At 39.4% G+C, this 19,578-nt stretch overlaps 2 protein-coding genes and 1 long non-coding RNA gene across 11 annotated transcripts in view, besides 3 other annotated features; 1 reads left to right on the top strand and 2 right to left on the bottom strand.

The window, feature by feature from the left end:
* Positions 1 to 5,176, bottom strand: part of TCAIM (T cell activation inhibitor, mitochondrial) — a 71,320-nt gene extending 66,144 nt beyond the window's left edge. For 3 of the 6 annotated variants that reach the window (NM_001282913.2, NM_001282915.2, NM_001029840.3), the window contains exon 1: positions 4,986 to 5,176. The gene's annotated coding sequence lies outside the window, so the exon portion shown is untranslated. Of the gene's footprint in view, positions 1 to 4,470; positions 4,540 to 4,985 lie in introns of those variants that run through there. The other 3 variants (NM_173826.4, NM_001282914.2, NM_001029839.3) reach the window with 1 other exon arrangement.
* Positions 4,489 to 4,878: a silencer, noted in NCBI's record as "silent region_14262". NCBI's record gives its function as "represses an Ori minimal core promoter by ATAC-STARR-seq in GM12878 lymphoblastoid cells {active_cell/tissue: GM12878}" and the evidence as "EXISTENCE:reporter gene assay evidence [ECO:0000049][PMID:35858748]".
* Positions 4,873 to 5,526: an enhancer, noted in NCBI's record as "H3K27ac hESC enhancer chr3:44379271-44379924 (GRCh37/hg19 assembly coordinates)". NCBI's record gives its function as "activates a minimal SCP1, AML or CMV promoter by ChIP-STARR-seq in naive H9 embryonic stem cells {active_cell/tissue: H9 hESC(naive)}" and the evidence as "EXISTENCE:reporter gene assay evidence [ECO:0000049][PMID:30033119]".
* Positions 5,019 to 5,188: an enhancer, noted in NCBI's record as "active region_19762". NCBI's record gives its function as "activates an Ori minimal core promoter by ATAC-STARR-seq in GM12878 lymphoblastoid cells {active_cell/tissue: GM12878}" and the evidence as "EXISTENCE:reporter gene assay evidence [ECO:0000049][PMID:35858748]".
* Positions 5,187 to 18,614, top strand: LOC105377055 (uncharacterized). Of its 2 annotated transcripts, none has more exons than XR_940782.4 (4): positions 5,187 to 5,600; positions 8,743 to 8,851; positions 12,436 to 12,485; positions 16,545 to 18,614. It is a non-coding gene; the product is annotated as an uncharacterized LOC105377055 (long non-coding RNA). The 2 variants fall into 2 exon arrangements; XR_940783.4 differs by lacking the exon at positions 16,545 to 18,614 and adding an exon at positions 13,206 to 13,513.
* The window catches only part of TOPAZ1 (testis and ovary specific TOPAZ 1), a 94,804-nt gene continuing 81,841 nt past the window's right edge, over positions 6,616 to 19,578 (bottom strand). For 2 of the 3 annotated variants that reach the window (NM_001145030.2, XM_017006361.2), the window contains 2 exons: positions 14,872 to 15,055; positions 11,207 to 11,513 (listed from right to left, as the gene is read on the bottom strand). In NM_001145030.2, coding sequence (NP_001138502.1) covers positions 11,294 to 11,513; positions 14,872 to 15,055 — 404 coding nt within the window. In that variant the 3' untranslated portion in view covers positions 11,207 to 11,293. Of the gene's footprint in view, positions 6,844 to 11,206; positions 11,514 to 14,871; positions 15,056 to 19,578 lie in introns of those variants that run through there. The other variant, XM_011533694.3, reaches the window with a different exon arrangement.

Genomic DNA, 19,578 nt, shown 5'->3' with positions numbered 1-19,578 from the left:
GAGGCTAGGGGGCTTGAGATTTGTATTCAAATCTTGACATCTTCAGTGACTGTGTGAGCAAGGGCAAGTTACGTTACCTTCTGGAGTCTGTTTCCTCATCTCTTAAATAACATAGATGGTTAAGAAAAGTCTGTTGTAACACCAAAACATTTCTTCTTTTTTTTTTTTGAGACAGAGTCTCGCTCTGTCACCTGCGCTATAGTGCAGTGGCATGATCTCGGCTCACTGCGACCTCTGCCTCCCAGGTTCAAGCGATTCTCGTGCCTCAGCTTCCCGAGTAGCTGGGATTACAGTCGCCTGCCACCGCACCCAGCGAATTTTTGTATTTTTAGTAGAGATGGAGTTTCTCCATGTTGGCCAGGCTGGTCTCGAACTCCTGACCTCAGCTGATCCTCCTTCCTCGGCCTCCCAAAGTGCTGAGATTACAAGCCTGAGCCACTGTGTCCAGCCTTAAAATGTTTATTTAATGTGAATCAGCTTATATGCAATTGGTCAATAGGGGAAAGACTTATATATGCACTTTACCCCCAACATATTACTGATTTGAAGTGATCAGAGGTAGGCTTTCTACAATTTAAAAAAAAAAAAAAGGCTTTAGTGATATGTAAAGACCTTAAGGAAAAAAAATCTCCTGGTATTTCTTTCTTTTGGTTTAAGAAGCAGATGTTTAGTGGGTTCAAGTCTGGCTACATTTTCCACTTCATCAAACCATCTGGCAATGTGCTAGGATAAACGAAAAAGCTAGAGATTTCCAAGTCTTTTAAAAAAAAATTTGATTGATAAATAAAGCTACTCCTAGATTAGAATGTTAATCTTGATGAAACTGGTCTAAACTAGATTTAATTTTACTACCATGTTTATTAGGGTTAGGGTTTTTGTTAGGGCTCTTATAAAATTTTGTTCAGTTTTGAGTGGTGTGTGCTTTTTCTCCACAAACTGTTACTTTTGCTTATTGTTTGGCAGCATGTCAGGATTTCCAGGAATGCAAGAATGGCATTACAGCAGAAACATGTGGATATATATAAACATTCTGTCCCCACTCCAAACTGCCTTTTAATTCTGAATCTTAAGTTTTCATTAACTGAGAGAATACTTTGAGCTAACACAATGCTAATCTGCTAGACAGGAGTACAATTTAGTAAATGAAATTAGTGAATATTTTATTGAATTTTGTCTTTATTTTATAAAAAAGAAAAATTACAATTCTAATACTAGTAATAAAGAATACGAAATGAAATACAAATGAGAAAACGTTATCTATATTGATATTTGGTCTGTATCTGATGCTCACTGAAGTTATCTGGACAGCACATTTAAGATAAAATGGTGGAAAGACACAGACAAAATGCTAGAAATATTCAATAAGACTTTTCTAAAAGGTGAAATCTAATTTAGAACCTAATAATGATGTTTAAGCACTGTGGATGTGGAATCCCACATCTGACTTTGTGTATGTGTTTTCAGGGGTACATCACTTATGAAAGTAGGGGCTATCTTTTTCATAGAACTTTTGTGAAGCTTAAGTAGAATATGCATAAGGGATTTAGCCACATTTAGTAAATAAAAAATTCATTACAGTTGCAACTATTATTATGTCAGAGTGTATTAAAAAATGGCATAATTTTTTTCCATCTAATGTCAGATAACATATTGCTCAAACATGCAGTTCAATACAACATTTTATTCAAAAACAAATTTTGAAAAACTTTGTTGAAAAACTCAGAATTATCACAATAAGGAGTCAATGTCTGAAGGTCTTAAACACAAGGTAGTAGGCAATTTTGCCAAGGCTACATACAATTCAAAAAGTACAGATGAATAATTTCACAAATTTTTCTCTAGAAAAATACTTTTAATTCATCAGAATTAAAAAATAGCTAGTTGTTTACTTTTACCATTTGAAGACAAAGGTGGCACTTGCTAACCAATAAAAACACAAGTTTTGATGGAAGTAGCATTTCTCTCTTCAAAATAAAAACCTAAAGTGAATATAATAAAGTTATATTGTGCTGTGGGAATTGTCTTTTTATGAATTAATACTGACTTTTTAAAGACAGTGTTCTGGGTCATGGAGAAACAATGAGAGAGCAATAGGGGAGAAATGAGAGGGAATGTGACTTTTCCTTTTTCCAATAATTCTCCTCTCTCCCACAATGGCAGCCAATTCATATTTCTAGAGGAAAATGCCTATATATATAAAAATATATTCAGTTAATAATTCTGCTATCCATTCAACAAAATTATTGCTCTAAGATGATCACTTCCTATACAAATCATTGGAAAAAATTAAAAATATATTTTCTCGTTCTGTTTAAGAATAAGAATGAAAAACCGAGTACTATGAGTCTTTTGAGTATTTCCTGTAAGCTCTTCAAGAATGGGCTCTGACGACTAAGTGACAGATGAGGATCCAGTTTTGGAAAAGAAGAAAGGGACAGGGTAGGAAGGAGAGAAAGAAATAACTCTTAGGGCAGTGGTTTTCAAAGCAGCAACAGCATCCGTGAGAAATGCAAATTATCAGGTCCCATCCGAGTCCTGCAGAATCAGAATCTGGGTGGGATGGAGGAATCTGTTTTAACACACTGTCAGGGATTCTGATGCACACTCAGGTTTGAGAACCACTGTATTAGGGAATCCTGATTCTATCACCAAAGAGGATTCTGGGGCATCTGTTAATGTTTAAGCTTTAATTCTTTAAAAATAATTATTTAATACAAACTTGGATCTTTAGCTACCCAATTTATGCTAAAAATCAAAGGAGGATTTCAAGTTTTTGCTTGAATTAGTTCTTTGTTTCCTGTATGGTTTATGTACTTTTCAGATTAAAAAAACCAAAATTCTAAGTAGAGACAATGTCCAGCAGGTTGGCAGGCATGGCTGCCTGCCGCTTCACAACGCCCAGATCTTGGGTTAGTCTTCAACCTTGTAAGAACAGAACCCAATTTTATCACTTCAAGACAGAAATACGTGGGCCTTGGGGAAGCTAAATTAGAAGGCCTGATAACTGGAATGTCAATCTGTAAATTTACTTTGAGATTATAACTGCTAAGACAACTAGAAGATTCAGATCTAATGTTCTTCCTCTTTCAGGACTAGCTACACAGAAAATCAAATTACTATCAGCTGACTGAAGACACATTGCTTCAGAGTAGAGTTGGGTGCTCTCATTCAGACACTAGCTCCAAAAGTCTGGGACATCCACATCAACCGCAGGCTTCTCGTCTTCAGATAAATTCTTACATAGGTGGTTCCTGTCCATACTGCACTTAGCCCACTATACTTCCACTTGGAAAATGCTATAAAATAACTGAAGAGGTTGCACTGTCTTATCACACTTGGGAGGCATACCGAGTCTTTAACTCACCCATTCATCACCACTTATGGGCCAGGTCCTGCGTAAAGCATTGGGACTAGAAAATTATTAAGACAATTCTAATACTCAAAAGACTTTTAGAGGGAGGGGGGAGTGTAAAAACAGACACAAGCAGATAAGTATAAAACAACGCAGTAAATGCAATAATACAAACATGCACAGAATATGAGAAACTCCCAGACGCAACACTTGGAATGGGGCGGGGAGAGCTCAGGAAGGTCTTCTCTAAGGAAATGGTGCCTTTCCTGGAAGAGGGCAGAGGACCGGGAAGGATAAAATTTATTTACAAACCATTGTAAATGACTACTTTAATCTACTTAACAGTGATATTAGTTTCTGTTTCATAAAGTGAAAATTTCTAATTTTACCTAAAATCTGTTCTAAGTGAGGCATTAAATCTGTGCAGTTTCAAACCAAATTTGGTGGAAAGATACCTAAATCAGTGAAAAATCCAAATTATGGAAGAGTACACGAAAAACGGTTTTGTTTTGCTTACTTTCAACTAACACCGAGTGTGTGCCAAATAGAGCTCTCAGGATTGAGCTTTGACCATTTGGCACAACTTTTATTTGAAAGTAATTTATTTTAACAAAATTAATATCATGCCACTCTCATTTGAACTGTGACTTCCCTTAGTGACTATCTTGTACGGTTTCTGAAAGCAGTTTGTTATATCAAGGAGGGACAAAAGCGGTAATTTTCATGGCTTTTCAGTTGAATATGAACTTCTTAGAGTAGGGGAAAAAGGCAAAGAAAAAGAGCAAAAGCAGGAAATGCTATTAGATACATTAGCCTAGATTCTGTAGCTTCCTTTTCTAAATCTCGCTATATGAGATTTAGTACGTAACAATTTCCCGTAAATCAAAGACCTCGGAAAAATATAAGTCGGAAACAATAAAACCTAAATCGTCTTTGCGTTCTCATTTCACAGCGAGTTAAAATGTAGATGCGATGCGGATACTGCGTCCCCTGGCACTGCCTCAATTCAAAAGTTAGCACTTTGCGCTAAGGTGGCTCTGAGCACTCCCCTCCGACCCCGCTTCCCCCCTAGAGGAGCATGAATGCACCACCGGAGCCCCTCCCCTCTTGCTCCTTACAGTTCTGGCAAGGGTCCGACGCGAGGGCTTTGTCCGACTAGTTCCACCTCCCACCCAGTACACCAGAAGGGAGGACAGTCGCTCCGCCCGCAGGGCTGTTCGGACGCGCATGCGCACTGGGGCGTCAGCTGGCCAACCAGCGCGCGACGCACGGCCAGGCGCTCCCACCTGCCCTCGCCCCGGTGGGCGACAGGCTTTGACGGGCTCCTAGCCGCAGTGCCCTCTGAGCCCCCAACCCTGAATTCTCAGCTGGGCCCTCCCGGCTCCACCTGCCCCCAACACCCTCCCCGCTCCGGCGGCGGCAGGGCGCTCGAGGCAAGCCCGGGCAGGGGGACGAGCTGCAGGTGACGCCCTGGTTGGCTGGAGCGTGCCAGGCCTTCCCCCTACGGCGCCTGCGCACAGCCAGGGCGTGGATTCAACCTTCCGCGGTGCCCTGCCTCTAGCTGACGTCAGCACCCTGGTAACTGCTGCACCTTCGCCGCGCGCTTTGAGCCCCCGCCCCTCCGCCTTCTTACCGGCCGCCCTGAGGGGTCTCGGCGCGCTCGGCTGAGAGCTTTAGGAGGCGCGAGCGAGCACTCCGACTAGGCCGGAGGGACTCGGAAAATGATGGTCCGGCAGGTGGTGGGTCCTGACCCAAGGGCCTGCAAGGAACGGAGAAGGGCAACCGAGCACGCGCTGGATCTTGGGGAAGAAGGGGAAAGGGACTGCTGGAGGAGGCGCGCATGCGCCGTGCGGTCCTTCGCCCCGGGCGCCCTGGCAGGGGGCGAGGCTCTGCGGAACTCCCGGAGCTGGCGCCAGGGAACAAGTCTCAGTGGAGAGCCTCGAATTTTAAAAGTCTCATTTAAGTATTTCTTTTGGTTTTCCTTGTATAAATATAGCTAACTTTTAAACATTTCTTTTCCGGCTTGTGTTGTTTGCTTTGGACCCTTCAGCACCTATTTTTAAACGTTAAGCATTCCCCAGTCAGCATGAAAGTTTTACTGTTAGTTTTATTTTGTTCCTATAATTTTGATTCCCCCCAGAAACTGCCACAGATGAAATCAAGCCAATAGAATTGAAAGCAAAGATCACCTGGTGGCCATGAAGCCGACCATCCTTAGGCAGAAACTCCTTACCTGAGGAATTTAGAGGTAACTAGACTTCCCTGTTACCTAAAGCCAGCATCTGGTACCAGACTTCTTCCCTCCAAATTTAAAAGTAACTAGAATTTCTATGCATCTCCGTAATGCACGCATGTCAAAACTCATTGTGCACCCCTTGCCATCTGCTCCATGCCCCAATCAACCCCTGTCCCCTACCATCCAGATACTTTATTACCCTCACATACTTGCACAGGAGTTACATATGCCACTAGTACAAAGTCCTCAGAAAATCCCCCAAGTGTTATGCCTCTCCACAAGGTGGCAAACGGAGATTTGGGAACAATTTGAGTTCATGTCCCTTTTCCATTGTCTGAACTTTGGCAAATTCAATCCAAGTTGGGTTCATTTAGCCAGGATCCCTCTAAGTTCATTCAAGAATTTCGGGCTTTATTGCCTTTGATTTAACCTGGCAAGACACATTTGTGGTATTAACTATTTGCTGTTCCCACGAAGAAAAAATCACGGTCTTTAGCTCGAGTTTGGGCAGACGAAACTCATGTTGGCAATCCTAATAATAGAGCCAGGGCAGAAGCTGTCCCCAACACAGAACCCAATTGGCAATACCACGCTGCCAATGCCAGCCCAAACAGAGACAGGGGAAGAGAAGATTATAACATGTTTGTTGGAAGGAATGAAATAAAACCTGTTAATTTTTCTAAATTATGAGAGATCACTCAGGACCAAGGACCCTTCCCTTTTCCAAGCTAGACTAATGGAGGCCATGCATAAATATACAGATTTAGATCCTGAAAGCCCTGAGGGCCAATCCCTTCTGGCCATACATTTTATAAGTCAGGCTTCCCCAGACATCAGACAAAAACTCCAAAAATTAGAGCAAGGCCCACAAACTCCCTTTTGTACTTTATTAAAAGCAGCCTTTAAGGACACTGAAGTTGAGAATGTCCCAAACCTCCAGGTTGCAAGCCATCCCTGGGACCCTGTCCTCACTGCAAATTGGAAGAATGAGTGTCCCTCCCTCATGAAGGGGGGGCCACCTCTTCCTTCTAGGCTATGACAGCCACAGTCTCACCAACCTACCTGACAAGGGGATCCTGCAGAACGAGGGTGAGGGTGAGGGCGAGAGCAAGGGCAAACACCTCTAATTCTATTCCTGGATTATGATCAAGCCTCTGAAATGTCAGTCATCCATCCTCTAGATGGGGCCTTGAAGCCATCCACGGCCCTGTCTTTTCCATCTCTGTGGATGATCCCAGGGCAAATCTGATTGTGGCTGAACAACAGATAATGTTACTCATAGATACACGGGACAGTTATTCAGCTTTATAAACATTTACTATGGCCCAATGTGCCAGTCCTCCATTTTCCTCATGGATATTGATGGAAAACCCCAATGAGGCTGTTTCACACAGCCATTCCCTTGTAAAATGAAAGGCTATTCCTTTACTCCTTTTTAGCCCTGTTCTATTAGGTTGTGATTTACAAAATTACAAGCTAATTTACAGCTAAGGCCCCACCTTCTAGCTGTATTAACACTTCACCAAAAGAGCCCCTGCAGCTTCTCCCAGATAGCAATCTACTTCAGTATGTGGATGACTTACTAATCTGTAGTCCTAACCAGGCTGTTCCAGACCAAAATACAGTATTAGTATTCAACAAACTTGCTAATTGTGGGTACAAAGTATCTCCTTCTAAAGCACAAATATCCACACAAAGGGTTCAATTTTGGGGTCTTATTTTAATTCCCAGTGAAAAAGCCTTTGTAGTGCTTGTACAGATCTTAAACGTGACAATTGTGGTAACTAAACAACAGCTTCAGTCATTTTTGGGTAAGGCTGGGTTTTGCAGAATATGGATTCCTTCCTTTGAGTTAATAGCAAAACCTTTATATGAAGCCCTCAAGGGAACTCAGGAACAGTCTCTATACTGGACTAATGAGATGAAGCATGCTCTAAACACTTTAAAATAGGCTTTAATCTCAGCCCTGACCTCAGCCCTACCAGATCTGACTAAGCCTTTTTCTATGTACATGAACAAAAGGGAATAGCTTTGGGAGTCTTAGCCCAAGATTGAGGGGCCCTCTAAGTGCCCTATAGCATTTTTTTTTCTTTGAGATGGAGTCTCACTCTATTGTTCAGGCTGGAGTGCAATGGCATGACCTTGGATCACTGCAACCTCTGCTTCCCAAGCTCAAGTGATTCTCCTGCCTCAGCCTCCCAAGTATCTGGGATTATAGGTGTGCACCACCGCGCCCAGCTAATTTTTGCATTTTTAGTAGAGTCAGGGTTTCACCATGTTGGCCAGGCTGGTCTCAAACTCCTGACCTCGTGATCTGACTGCCTCAGCCTCCCAAAGTGCTGGCATTACAGGTGTGAGCCACTGTGCCTGGCCCCTATAGCATATTTAAAAAAAAACTTTAGACCTAGTATGCCAGGGATGGCTTAAGAGCCTTAGCAGCGGTGGCCCTTAGTGCAAGAAGCCTCAAAAATGTATTACCTGCCCCTCCTGAACTCTTATGGTTTTGTGGCACTGCTATTAATTATTTAAATCCTTTTCAAGCTTTGGCCCTATCCCACCTTGATAATTCTCTTCGTTATGATGATTGTACCCTGGGTACAATAGCTCCTGCCCAAATCACTGTCTTAAACATAACTTCCAATCTAGAATCCCATTCTAGATGAAAAAGGGCCCTAGGACTTATTGTTGGAGTTGTGGGAATCATCACAACTCTCACCCCTTGGGGAGGTTGTACTTATCATGAAATCACACTATGTGAACATGCTGCCTCCCTCACAATCGCAAAAACTAGCACAAGTCTATCAGCACTAGAAAAGTCTGTAGCCTCACTAGCAGGAATGGTTGTTGATATCAGAAGGGCTCCAGATTACCTCCTAGCTGAATAAGGAGGAGTCTGTGCTGTCATTAACAAAATGTGTTGCACCTACATTAATGTGTCTGGAGAAGTGGAAGCTGATGTCCAAGAAATTTTCAAACAAACCAAATGGCTACACACACCTTCTCAAAGTAACCCAAAGTGGGCCAAAATCCTTACTAATTGGTTCCCAAAAATCACCTGGTTTCTCCCATTCCTTGGACCTTTATTCCTCATTATTCTTCCTCTAATATTTGGTCCCTGCCTCTTTAATGCTCTCATTAAGTTTCTATCTTCCAGATTACAATGATTCCACCTACAGATGATTATGTAATCCCAATACCAGCCTGCAACAGCAACTTCCACATATATGGGGCCTCTTGATGGAATCCGGTGTCTCCTGTCCCCAGTAAGTTTTTCATAACCCTTCATGACACAGAGCAAGAAAGGGAAAAATGTGACTTATCCCCTCAATGCTCCCTTTCAGCAAGAAGTAGCCAGACAGACCTGACACCCCTCTTCACTGTGCCGTTTCCCCTTTCTTGAAACCATAATAGGCAGAAGGTACAGAGGAGCATGGGGGATTCGAAAGGGTCAAATATTTGACCAAGATATCTGTCAGGGGGAAAATGAGGAGAGCAAAGATCACCTGGTGGCCATCAAGCAGACTATCTGCAGGCAAAACTCCTTACCTGAGGAATTTAGAAGTGATTAGACTTCCCCATTATAAAAACCTGGCATCTGGTACCAGGCTTCTTTCCCCCAAATTTGGAAGTAACTAGAATTTCTATACATCTCCAAATACATGCATGTCAAAACTCACTGTGCAACCCTTGCTAACATCAAGGCACCAAAATGTCTACAAATATAATCATTTATCATTACCTACATGGCTAATACGGTCCAAATTACCCTTAAGCTCCTGCTTTAAGCTCTATAAATACTCCTAAGGAAAAATCTCCTGTGGCGAGCTCAGTCCTCTCTTGCTGAAGCGCCCTGCTGCATCCTTCTGCATCCTCCTATCTATCTAATGAAACTTCCTTTTCAAACCTATACTGTTGTCAGTAAATTCTTCTTACTACCCGAGAGCCAACACTTTTTGTTGTCGGGGCTTTGATGCCTCACCCAGCAATGATTAACACTCCTTTCCCATCTTTTGGCACTGTTGACAGGCAAAAATGCCTCTGTTTGTTCCAGCAATAAGGCTCTTGTCATTAGAAACCAGTCCAGACACTTGTAAACCATTCCATCCAATCCCATTTTTCCTAAAACCTTAATTTATCATCCTTTCCCTCCTGCATCTTCATCCTAATACTTCTTTGCCACCAGCATCTCAGTGGTCACATATTTCTCTAATTCCTTTCTTAGGGTTTCAGTTATCATTTGTAGAAATGACTAATTTACAAATGCCCACTTTCTATTCTCCCCTTGTTTTCAAAGGTGCCTCAAAATGATCTCCAAACCTAATTCATTTCCTAGGTGCTCCACTGAAGTAATGGCAGGTTATAGTCACCCAGTTCCTTCTTACTAAAGAACTGGGTATCCTTCTTGACGTCACCTGCCTCACTTCCCCATATCCCATTTGTGATAGTATTCGTTCTACATTTCATCGATAGTAATCAGGCATTTTGGCAAGAGCTAGGATTTAACCTTCCTAGTCTTGTGATGTTACAGACTTATTCCAATGATGCTGCTATTTACCATATTTTGTGAACTCCCTTAAGAAATACTTTTGGTCCAGCTGGGCACGGTGGTCCATGCCTGTAATCCCAGCACTTTGGGAGGCCAAGGTGGGCAGACAGCTTGAGTCCAGAAGTTTGAGACCAGCCTGGGAAACATAGCAAAACCCCATCTCAAAAAAAAAAAAAACCACAAAAAAAACACCAAAAAACAAAAATTATCTGGGCATGGTGGCGCATACCTGTAGTCTCAGCTACATGGGAGGCTGAGATGGGAGGACTGCTTGAGCCTGGGAGGTTGAGGCTGCAGTGAGCCCTGATCATGCCACTGCACTCCAGCCTGGGCACAGAGTACGACCCTTTCTCAGGAAAAAAAAAAAAAAAACTTTCAGTCCCCTTAATCGCAACTTATTACTCACCTTATTCACACTTTTTAAAATCTAAATAATTTTAAATTACGGTTTAAAGTATCAAAGATGAGGATTACCACCTTGGAGAATGTGATACAGATTCTGAATATGACTTCAGAAGAGTTTTAACTTCCTAAATTGGTTTGGAAGGAAGAATCCTTGTTTAGATAATTAAGTTTTGGGTATATTTGTGTCTTATCTAGTGTAATGCACATAGATTTTCAAAACTCATCTAGTATTCCAAGATACACTAAAGGAAAACTATTCAGAGGGTAATTTAAACTTTTTGGTATAATTCAGAAAGTATTCTGAATTTTTGTGTTCATTTTCAATATTGTTTTATTATTCTCGATTACAGATGTAGTACAGCTTTAGAGACTGGACTGAGTACACACTAAACCTATTTCATACCCCTAAATGTTTTCCTGAAAACTCCAGTTACCTGCTTGCATATTTTCCCTATTATGTCTCCCTCTTACTAAATGCTGCACAGTATTCAGTTTTGGATTTCAGAATAAAGTGGGATTTACCATGCTTAGTTTCTTTTAAAGTCAAAAAGTAATCTGAAAAGTCACTTTTCTGTGTGAATAAAATCAATGAAAATTACATATCAATAAAAATTTAGTGCTTTAAAACTATTAACTTGCTGTAAGTCAATAAAGTCAAAGAGCTGAATATAGTGAAAACTGTCTATTTTTATTGCCTTTTATTTTCAACAATGATTACTTGAACTAAAAAAAAAAAAAAAGCAGACTTTATTAGCTAATGGTTACTGAAAAGCCAAACCTTTCCAGCCCACTTCATATTCTCTTTTAACCATTTCAGGGCAGAACAATGTTCCAAACTATAAACCTGTTCCTTATTAACATTGACAGTCATGTGTTTAACGAAAAGCTTTGGATCTGATATACGAGCAGCCATAATTAACCTTTCTACTGCAGCTTGATAATCATCATTGCTCCGAGACTGGTTGTCTTCACACCTATAAAATGAACACCTCATAAAGTCAGAAACTCTTAAAAAAGCTATATAGTTTCTTCAAAAGATAGTCATTTACATTTACTGGTACTAAGCTATGATAGTCTTCTCACCATGTTCTTCTAAAAGTGGCTTTCAAACTTTTTTGATCATGACCCACAGTAAGAAAGGCATTTTGGCCAGGCATAGTGGTATAACCCCAGCGCTTTGGACGCTCAGGTTGGGGGGATCGCTTGAGGCCAGGAGTTCAAGATCAGCCTGAGCAACACAGTGAGACCTTCATCTCTACAAAAAATTTAAAAACTAGCTGGGTATGGTGATGTGCGCCTGTAGTCCCAGCTGCTCAGGAGGCTGAGGTGGGAGGAGGCCTTGAGCCCAGGAAGTTGAGGCTGCAGTGAGCTATGATTGCACCACTGCACTCTAGCCTGAGTGATAGAGCAAGACTCTGTCCAAAAAAAAAAGACATATTATGGCCCAGTATATACCTTCATACATAAAAAATAAATTTGACAAAACAAGACTTATACCCTGATGACAAAAACCCTGATTTTAAAAATAATACTGGTTGTAACACCCTAAATTGATTTCACCACACAAATAGTCTGCAACCCAGTTTGAAAAATACTGATTTAGAACACAGCTAATTACCTAAATCTTTGTATTTTGAAAGTGAATAACTACAATTATTCATGAGAATGCATAAAATACTAAATGTAATCCAGTTTAGAATTAACATTCACATGTTAAGTTTTACTTTGATATTGACTATTTTTACTTATAAGCAAATACTTAATATGTAGCTAATATTTGGTAACAAGTTGTATAGCTATAGGGGCTTTATTATATTTCTGGTTATTTTCTTCAATACTGATTTAAGGTGCTTCCTTAAGTGCCAGAATTAATTTTTCTAATAATTTTTCTACCAGCGCCATCTGCAATCAATTGTGACTGCACTGACCTGCATAAAATTCACACGGTATGTCAGTTTTTTCCTCTGGGGTAGGGAATGGGAACTATTTAAAATAGAGGTGTGGCTGTTACATTAAGTATCACCTTTTTCTTTGTGTTCACTGCTTCCTACTCTTGGTATCTACCAGGCCCAGCAGCAAGTTCTGAGTAGGAGCCTATCTGCATTAACATCACAGTGTAGTCTAGAGTGACAGGAGTGAGGACTTGCACTTGAAACAGGAACCAGTGGTCAGAGAGAGGAAAGACTGGTCAGGTACCTTCTAGTACATTCTAGCTTTGAAAGAGGTGCCCGGGAATCTGGTAGGTGGTGCAGATGCCAACTATGTGCAGTCTTAAAAAGTCTAAAGATGAATAAAATTCTGTCTCATAGAGAGAGGTAAATGTAACAAGGCAGGGCTTAGCATGATAATGACAATAGAGAAAATATATTGGTTTGGACAAAATCAAAGATTTAGGTATGTCACTAGTTATGCACTATGGTTACAAATACCTTCCAAATTCAATAAGTAAACAAAGAAGTTGCATGTGTGTGGGGAATAGAAAGCTATGAGAAAACCATGACCTCATTAGGATGATGGGGAGCCTAGATGCCTTATCCACCATAGTGCACAGTGGTAAATAAGGAAGCCCTCTGAAAAAAAGAACTATAAGAAAAAAGGTGAATTTTAGTGGGTTTTTTTGAAGGTGGAACTAAAATAATTTACTTCCTAATTCTCCTCCCCTTAAGTGTGGACTGGATCAAAAGACTCATCTACAAAAAAGGAGAACAGAAGTGACAGTATGTAACTTTGGATAGTAGGCTGTTGGATGACAACTCTCCATGGGTCTCTTGAGTTTGTGAAGTTTTGCAAGAGTCACTGCCTACCCTTTGTTCTAAATTACAAGGATTATACAGTGAACAACCTTGAAAGATAAAGATAGTTTCTTCTTCTGGAGCAAAGGGCAGGTTTGCTCACAGTCTTAGATGATGGAGACAGTACCTCCCTGCAAAGCAAAGGGCAGGCATGCCTGTTACTCATAAAATATTTGGGTTTCCTAAGCTGGGTACTCCTCTCCTGTTACAGAACTCATGGCATATGTAGGTATCCATGTAGGCCCATCTATGGGACTTAGGAGCAAGAGGAAATGATGCAAATACGTAGATAATCATGCTGTTTGGTGTACCACAAATAATGAAGTCCTCTGTCTCCGACACAGGAGTCTTGTGTCTTATGCTACCATCTATGAAACTGTGGCAGGTTAGCTTGTAGCTTGCAATAGGGTAAAATCTCAGACTCTTCACAGTTCTTGCTTGATATAGGTCACAAAAGACCCTGCAGCTTCCTCCTTGCTTTTTCTTTCTTGGATCACTCATTCTGGGAGAAATTAGCTGTCAGTCATGTCATGAAGACACTTAACCAACCTATGGAGAGGCCCATGTGGTGAAATGAGGCTTCCACCCAACAGGTATTTGAGTGAGCCATCTAGCAAAAGGATCCTCTAGCTCCAGCAAGCTATCACGTAGGTGACTAAAGTTTCTGACAACATCTTGACTCCAACTATGTGGAAAAACTGAGTCACATGAAAATTCCCGAGCCAGGACCATCCAGCTAAACCTCTCTGAAATTTCTGACCCACAGATATTAAGATACTATTTTCTGTTTTAAGCCATTAGGTCCAGGGATAATTTATTCTATAGCAACAGATAACTAATGTAATATTCAACCAGAGGATCTGGTTTGTCACACCAGTAAACTGAAGCAAAATTCTTGTCAAGAAGCTCTAAAACAGGATTCCCAGGAGATCCTTATATTGCAAGTTTCCTGGATAAAGCTGACAAGAAATCGTATGGCATACCACGATTTAGGCACACCATCTACTGTATGCCTAAATTCTAGGATTCTAAACAAAATTACGTGAAAGGGTGTCACTCTGGTACAGTACCTACTTTATAATATTTATGCATATATAGCATTATAAAATATAGAAACTAGGCTGATGGCTTTATTTTCAATGGTATTCTTGGCTGATCACGTATTTCCCTTTTAGACCCTAGTCCTTTGATCTTTTGAGTTGACTAGAGATAAAGATTTTTATAGGTACTGATCTCTAAACACAAGAAAGGTTGGTACCTAAAGAGGATCCGTCTCTTTGAACATCTAACTATATCTCTGAAGTTGCTAAAGTGTTTACCGAATGCTACTAACTTGTTTGGTTTTAAGCCTCAAACAGGTCTAATCCTTTCTTAGTTTAAATGATATCAGAGTTTGCAATACACACACATAAAGTACATATATAAATATATACATAAATATATATGTATGTATAAAAACACATAAAACATTTACATCTTAGGGTGGGTGTGGGGAGTCATGATCTACATTCAGAATGCAGTTAAAGTTATGTCAACCAACCTTTTCAAAACTATCTGCAGTATCTGTGTAGAAGTTCCAGGACTCTGAATACTACTAGCATTAGATACCATGAAGATTTCAATAGCTAAGAGCATTTCAATCTCAGATAAATAAGATGGAATTAGAAGAAGTTTTCGGTATAAATTTCCTTCCAATGGTGGGTAGCAACCCAAGGAAAGAGCACCTGAAAAATCAAATAATAGGTCAAACTTTACTAAAACCCAATAGGTAAAAACCTAGATTTCTGAAATACCTACAGGCGATAATTACTTACACAGAATAAGTCTTCACATTAGAAGTAGATTAACAAATTACATGATAGCTTATCCTAGTATATTTGGCATTATTCTTTGTAAAGTGCTTTTGAAACATTAAATAAAAAGTGAGAAGGGCTGGGTGTGGTGACTCATGCCTGTAATCCCAGCACTTTGGGAGGCTGAGGCGGGTGGATCTCTTGAGGTCAGTAGTTTGAGACCAGCCTGGCCAACATGGTGAAACCCCATCCCTACTAAAATACAAAAATTAGTTGGGTGTGGTGGCGGGTGCCTGTCGTCCCAGCAACTCGGGAGGCTGAGTCAGGAGAATCACTTGAACCTGGGAGGCAGAGGCTGCAGTGAGCCGAGATTGTGCCACTGTACTCCAGCCTAGGCGACAGTGTGAGACTCCATCTCAACAAAAACAAAAACAAAAAAAGTGAGAAACATTAAAAAAAAAACACTCTGAAAAATGACTTTTGGGCCTTATCATGGCAAATGACATTTATTTCAAGCCACAGTAAACACAAGACAATTTCAGAATAACTATTTTTGAGCACAGTTATTTATAGTACCATTATAGTTTATGCAATATTTACTGTTGCTACTAAATGTCTGGCATTGTGCTAAGTACTAGGCATAAAATACATTTCCATCCTGTAGGTGATCTGTGTGTTGTAGCTACATTCACCAATTCATGTTTTTAAAACTTCACTTTTCAAGAGAAGAGATTTAACTTTTAAATTGTTTAGGTGCTTATTAGGAGAGATATATAGGGAAATACCTATAAAACTTCTAGAACATCCAAACTATATATAGGCAATTTTATATTATTATATTTTACTGAAACCAATTTAAATATGTATGTAAATTTTGCTTAGAATGTTTTGTTTTGTTAGGATGAGTTTCTTCAAGAAATCTTTCTAATATGGGTAATGGCTAATCTTTGAAGACCTGCTATGTGCCATGTACATGTGCTAACAAACACATGGGTTTTACCTCATTTTAACTTGACAAAATGCTACCTTTGAAATTAGGTACAATTACTTCCATGTTATAGACGAGGGGCTTTTGGTAAGCACTCAGGCTCTCTAAGCTTGCATGGGGTGCCCACTTTCTGGCTCCAGATTTTGGATTCCTAACCACTAGGTATTCCCACCTCCCTAGGTCACTGCCAGGAGCAACAAACTGTTAACTCATTAACTTTACTAGTTTTTGGTAGGTATAATTTACATGCATTCTTATTTAACTTTTCTTACCAGAATTAAAAAGCAGAAAATAAAAAATTAACTAGAAATCTACTAATACGATTTTTTTTTTCACTCAAAATGAAACGTGAGAAGAAAAATACTCACATTTGATTTTGGGGAGAAAGTAATGGAAAGATACACTAATAACATCTCTCTCTTGACTTCTCAGTTCTGAGAGAAAAGCAGTATTTTTAGGACAAAGGAGAACAAATCAGGAGCGTGAGAAAGGAAACTCTGCTGTCCCTGGACAACCTCCTCCTGATTAGTCTGGCATGAAAGCAAGGGAAAGCCATCAAGAAAGTAACAGAAAACTCACAGGATGGACAAAATATTTGTAATTCATATATCTGACAAGGGATTTGTATCCAGAGTGTATATAAATGCATATGTACATGTGTATGTATGTATGAATACTCTTACAACCAAAAAAACCCAATCAAAAAAAAAGGGCAAAAGATTTAATAGGCATTCTCAAAAGAAAATATACGAATGACCAATAACTGTATGAAAAGGTCCTCAACATCATTAGTTATTAGGGATATGAAAACCAAAACTGTAATGATACATTACTTAACACCCACTAGGAGGAAAGCTAAAATAAAAAACACAGTAACAAGTGTTGGTGAAGATATAAAGAAACAGGAAATCCCGTACACGGCTGGTGGGAATATAAATATAAAATGATGCAGCTTCTTCAGGAAACAGTTTGGCAGTTTGGCAAAAAGCTAAATATAGATTTACTGTATGAGTCAGCAATTCTCCCAAGAGAAATGAATGCATATATACACATAAAAACTTATGTGAATATTCAAAGTAGCACTATTCACAATAGCCAAAAAGTGAAAACAACTCAAATGTCCATCAACCAATGAATAAACAGATTCCATTTTATAGAATATTGTTTAGCAATAAAAAGGAACAAAGTATTGATACATGCTACAACACTGAAATTTGAAAACACTAGGCTAAGTATAAGAAGCCAGTCATGGCTGGGTGCAGTGGCTCACGCATGTAATCGCAGCATTTTGGGAGGCCGAGGTGGATGGATGACCTGAGGCTGGGAGTTCAAGACCAGCCTGGCTAACATGGTGAAACCCCATCTCTACTAAAAATACAAAATTAGCTGCGCATGGTGATATGTGCCTGTAATCCCAGCTACTCAGGAGGCTGAGGCAGGAGAATCACTTGAACCTGGGAGGTGGAGGTTGCAGTGAGCCGAGATTGCGCCACTGTACTCCAGCCTAGGTGACAGAGGGAGACTCCGTCTCCAAGAAAAAAAAAAAAAAGCCAGTCACTAAAACACATGTATTAAATGATTCCATTTATGTGATCTGTCTAGAATGGGCAAATTCATGGAGACAGAGAATAAATTAGTTGTTGCCTAGGACTAGGGTGGAAGAGGAGACAACCAGGGAATGGAGAATAAATGCTAATGTGTACAAGGTTTCTTTTTCTGGAGGTGTTGAAGATGTTCTAAACTTAAATGGTGGTGATGGCTGCATGACTCTGTGACTATACCAAAAATGAATGCATTATATACTTTAAGTGAACTAATTTCATGATATGTGAAATTATCTCAATAAAGCCATAAAAATATTAAAACAAAAAAAGTTTAAAAAAAGTCAAAACAAAGGCACTGGCACCAAGTCTTAACAGTGCCTTGAAGAAAGTCAGCGTTAAGTCCCAAATAAAGTACTACTAGACACGATTATATACCATTGAAAGGCTCTTCTTGCAAGGGTTAAGCTATGTCTGAAAATAAATCCAAAAGGAGTTCCAATATAATTTTAATGTCAATGTTGTTAGAAAATGAGATGTTTTGAAGACTGATCAGTGGCTATAAATTACTCACTTGGCTGTAAATTACTCATTTTTATTCATGGTTTTATAATTCAAGTACATTCCTTAAAAAACAAAAATACTCTTTATCCCGTAACCTCACTTGCATAAGTCTCAGAAGTTACACTGCATATGAAATAAGGAATATGTGATTAGATAAAAGGAAAAGTTCCAATAACAAAGGTACTGTATTGTACACAGGCATTAATTGCTTTAACACACTGCTAAAAAAATCTTTAAAAGTAATTCTTACTAGGGCTGAATTGATTTGGAGGAATGAGGAGTGACTGCTAATGCATATGAGGTTTCTTTCTGGTATGAATAAAATATTCTAAAGTTGATTATGGTGATGGTTACACAACTCTGTAGATATAGTAAAACCACTGACTTGTATACTTTAAATGGGTGACTTGTATGGCATTTGAATTATACTTCTATAAAGTTGTTAAAAATTTTTAAAGTAAATGATTAAGTCTAGATGCTTTAATATAAAATTTTATTTCCAACTAAAAAATAGAAATATTTATAAAAATCTCATTTAAATGTCTGAGCTTATATTTGTTCCTGTGGCATATAAACACCTTTTGATGGCATCTCCCCCCAGTTGCACAGTTATATGAAATTATTCCCATTAACTTCAATTCTAGAAACTAAAATCACACACACACATATATGTGTGTGTGTATGGTTTCTAGAAGTCTGAAGGTAAATAGTATAAAGAGTTGAAACATAACCACACAATTGAAATTAGGTGTTATGAACAAACAATTCTATCTTTCCTCTAAATTTCTGATCACCCTTTTTAAGAAAACTCAGCTTTCAAAACTTCTTTTGATTATAACCTACAAGAAACACATTTTGCATAATGACCCAGTATACATACGTGCATATATGCAACTGAAATGAAAATTTTATCAAATAATTAAACTTACTACCTGTAATGTACCCTAGTATTTTCTTTCCCATTTTGTTGGGGAAAAAAAGTTACCACCTGCTGCATTGATCACAGCTGGCCACCTGAAAAACACTTCCAGCTCAGGTAGTAGTGGCTAGGATATTTGACACATTTGGTACGGGGTGACACAGAGTAGGCACTCAAATATTTGTTATATACATGATAGTGGTAGAAATGGTAGCTGAAGACAAATTACTGCATGAAGGCAGAAAAAACAATGCTTTTCTAGATCTAGAACGTACATGGAATTACTTTCTAATTAAAATACCTGCGAGGTGGCTTGGACTAGAGAAAGCACTAGTTTTCCAGGCTTATTTGTTAGAGAACAACAGCTGTAAGTAGATTAACAAAGTTCTATTACTAAAAGCCATGTGAAAAACATATACTATGTTGCATTGTTATGACAGCC

This window comes from Homo sapiens, chromosome 3 (assembly GCF_000001405.40).
Source record: "Homo sapiens chromosome 3, GRCh38.p14 Primary Assembly".
Lineage (NCBI taxonomy): Eukaryota > Metazoa > Chordata > Mammalia > Primates > Hominidae > Homo > Homo sapiens.
This window is presented reverse-complemented; position numbering and strand designations above follow the sequence as displayed.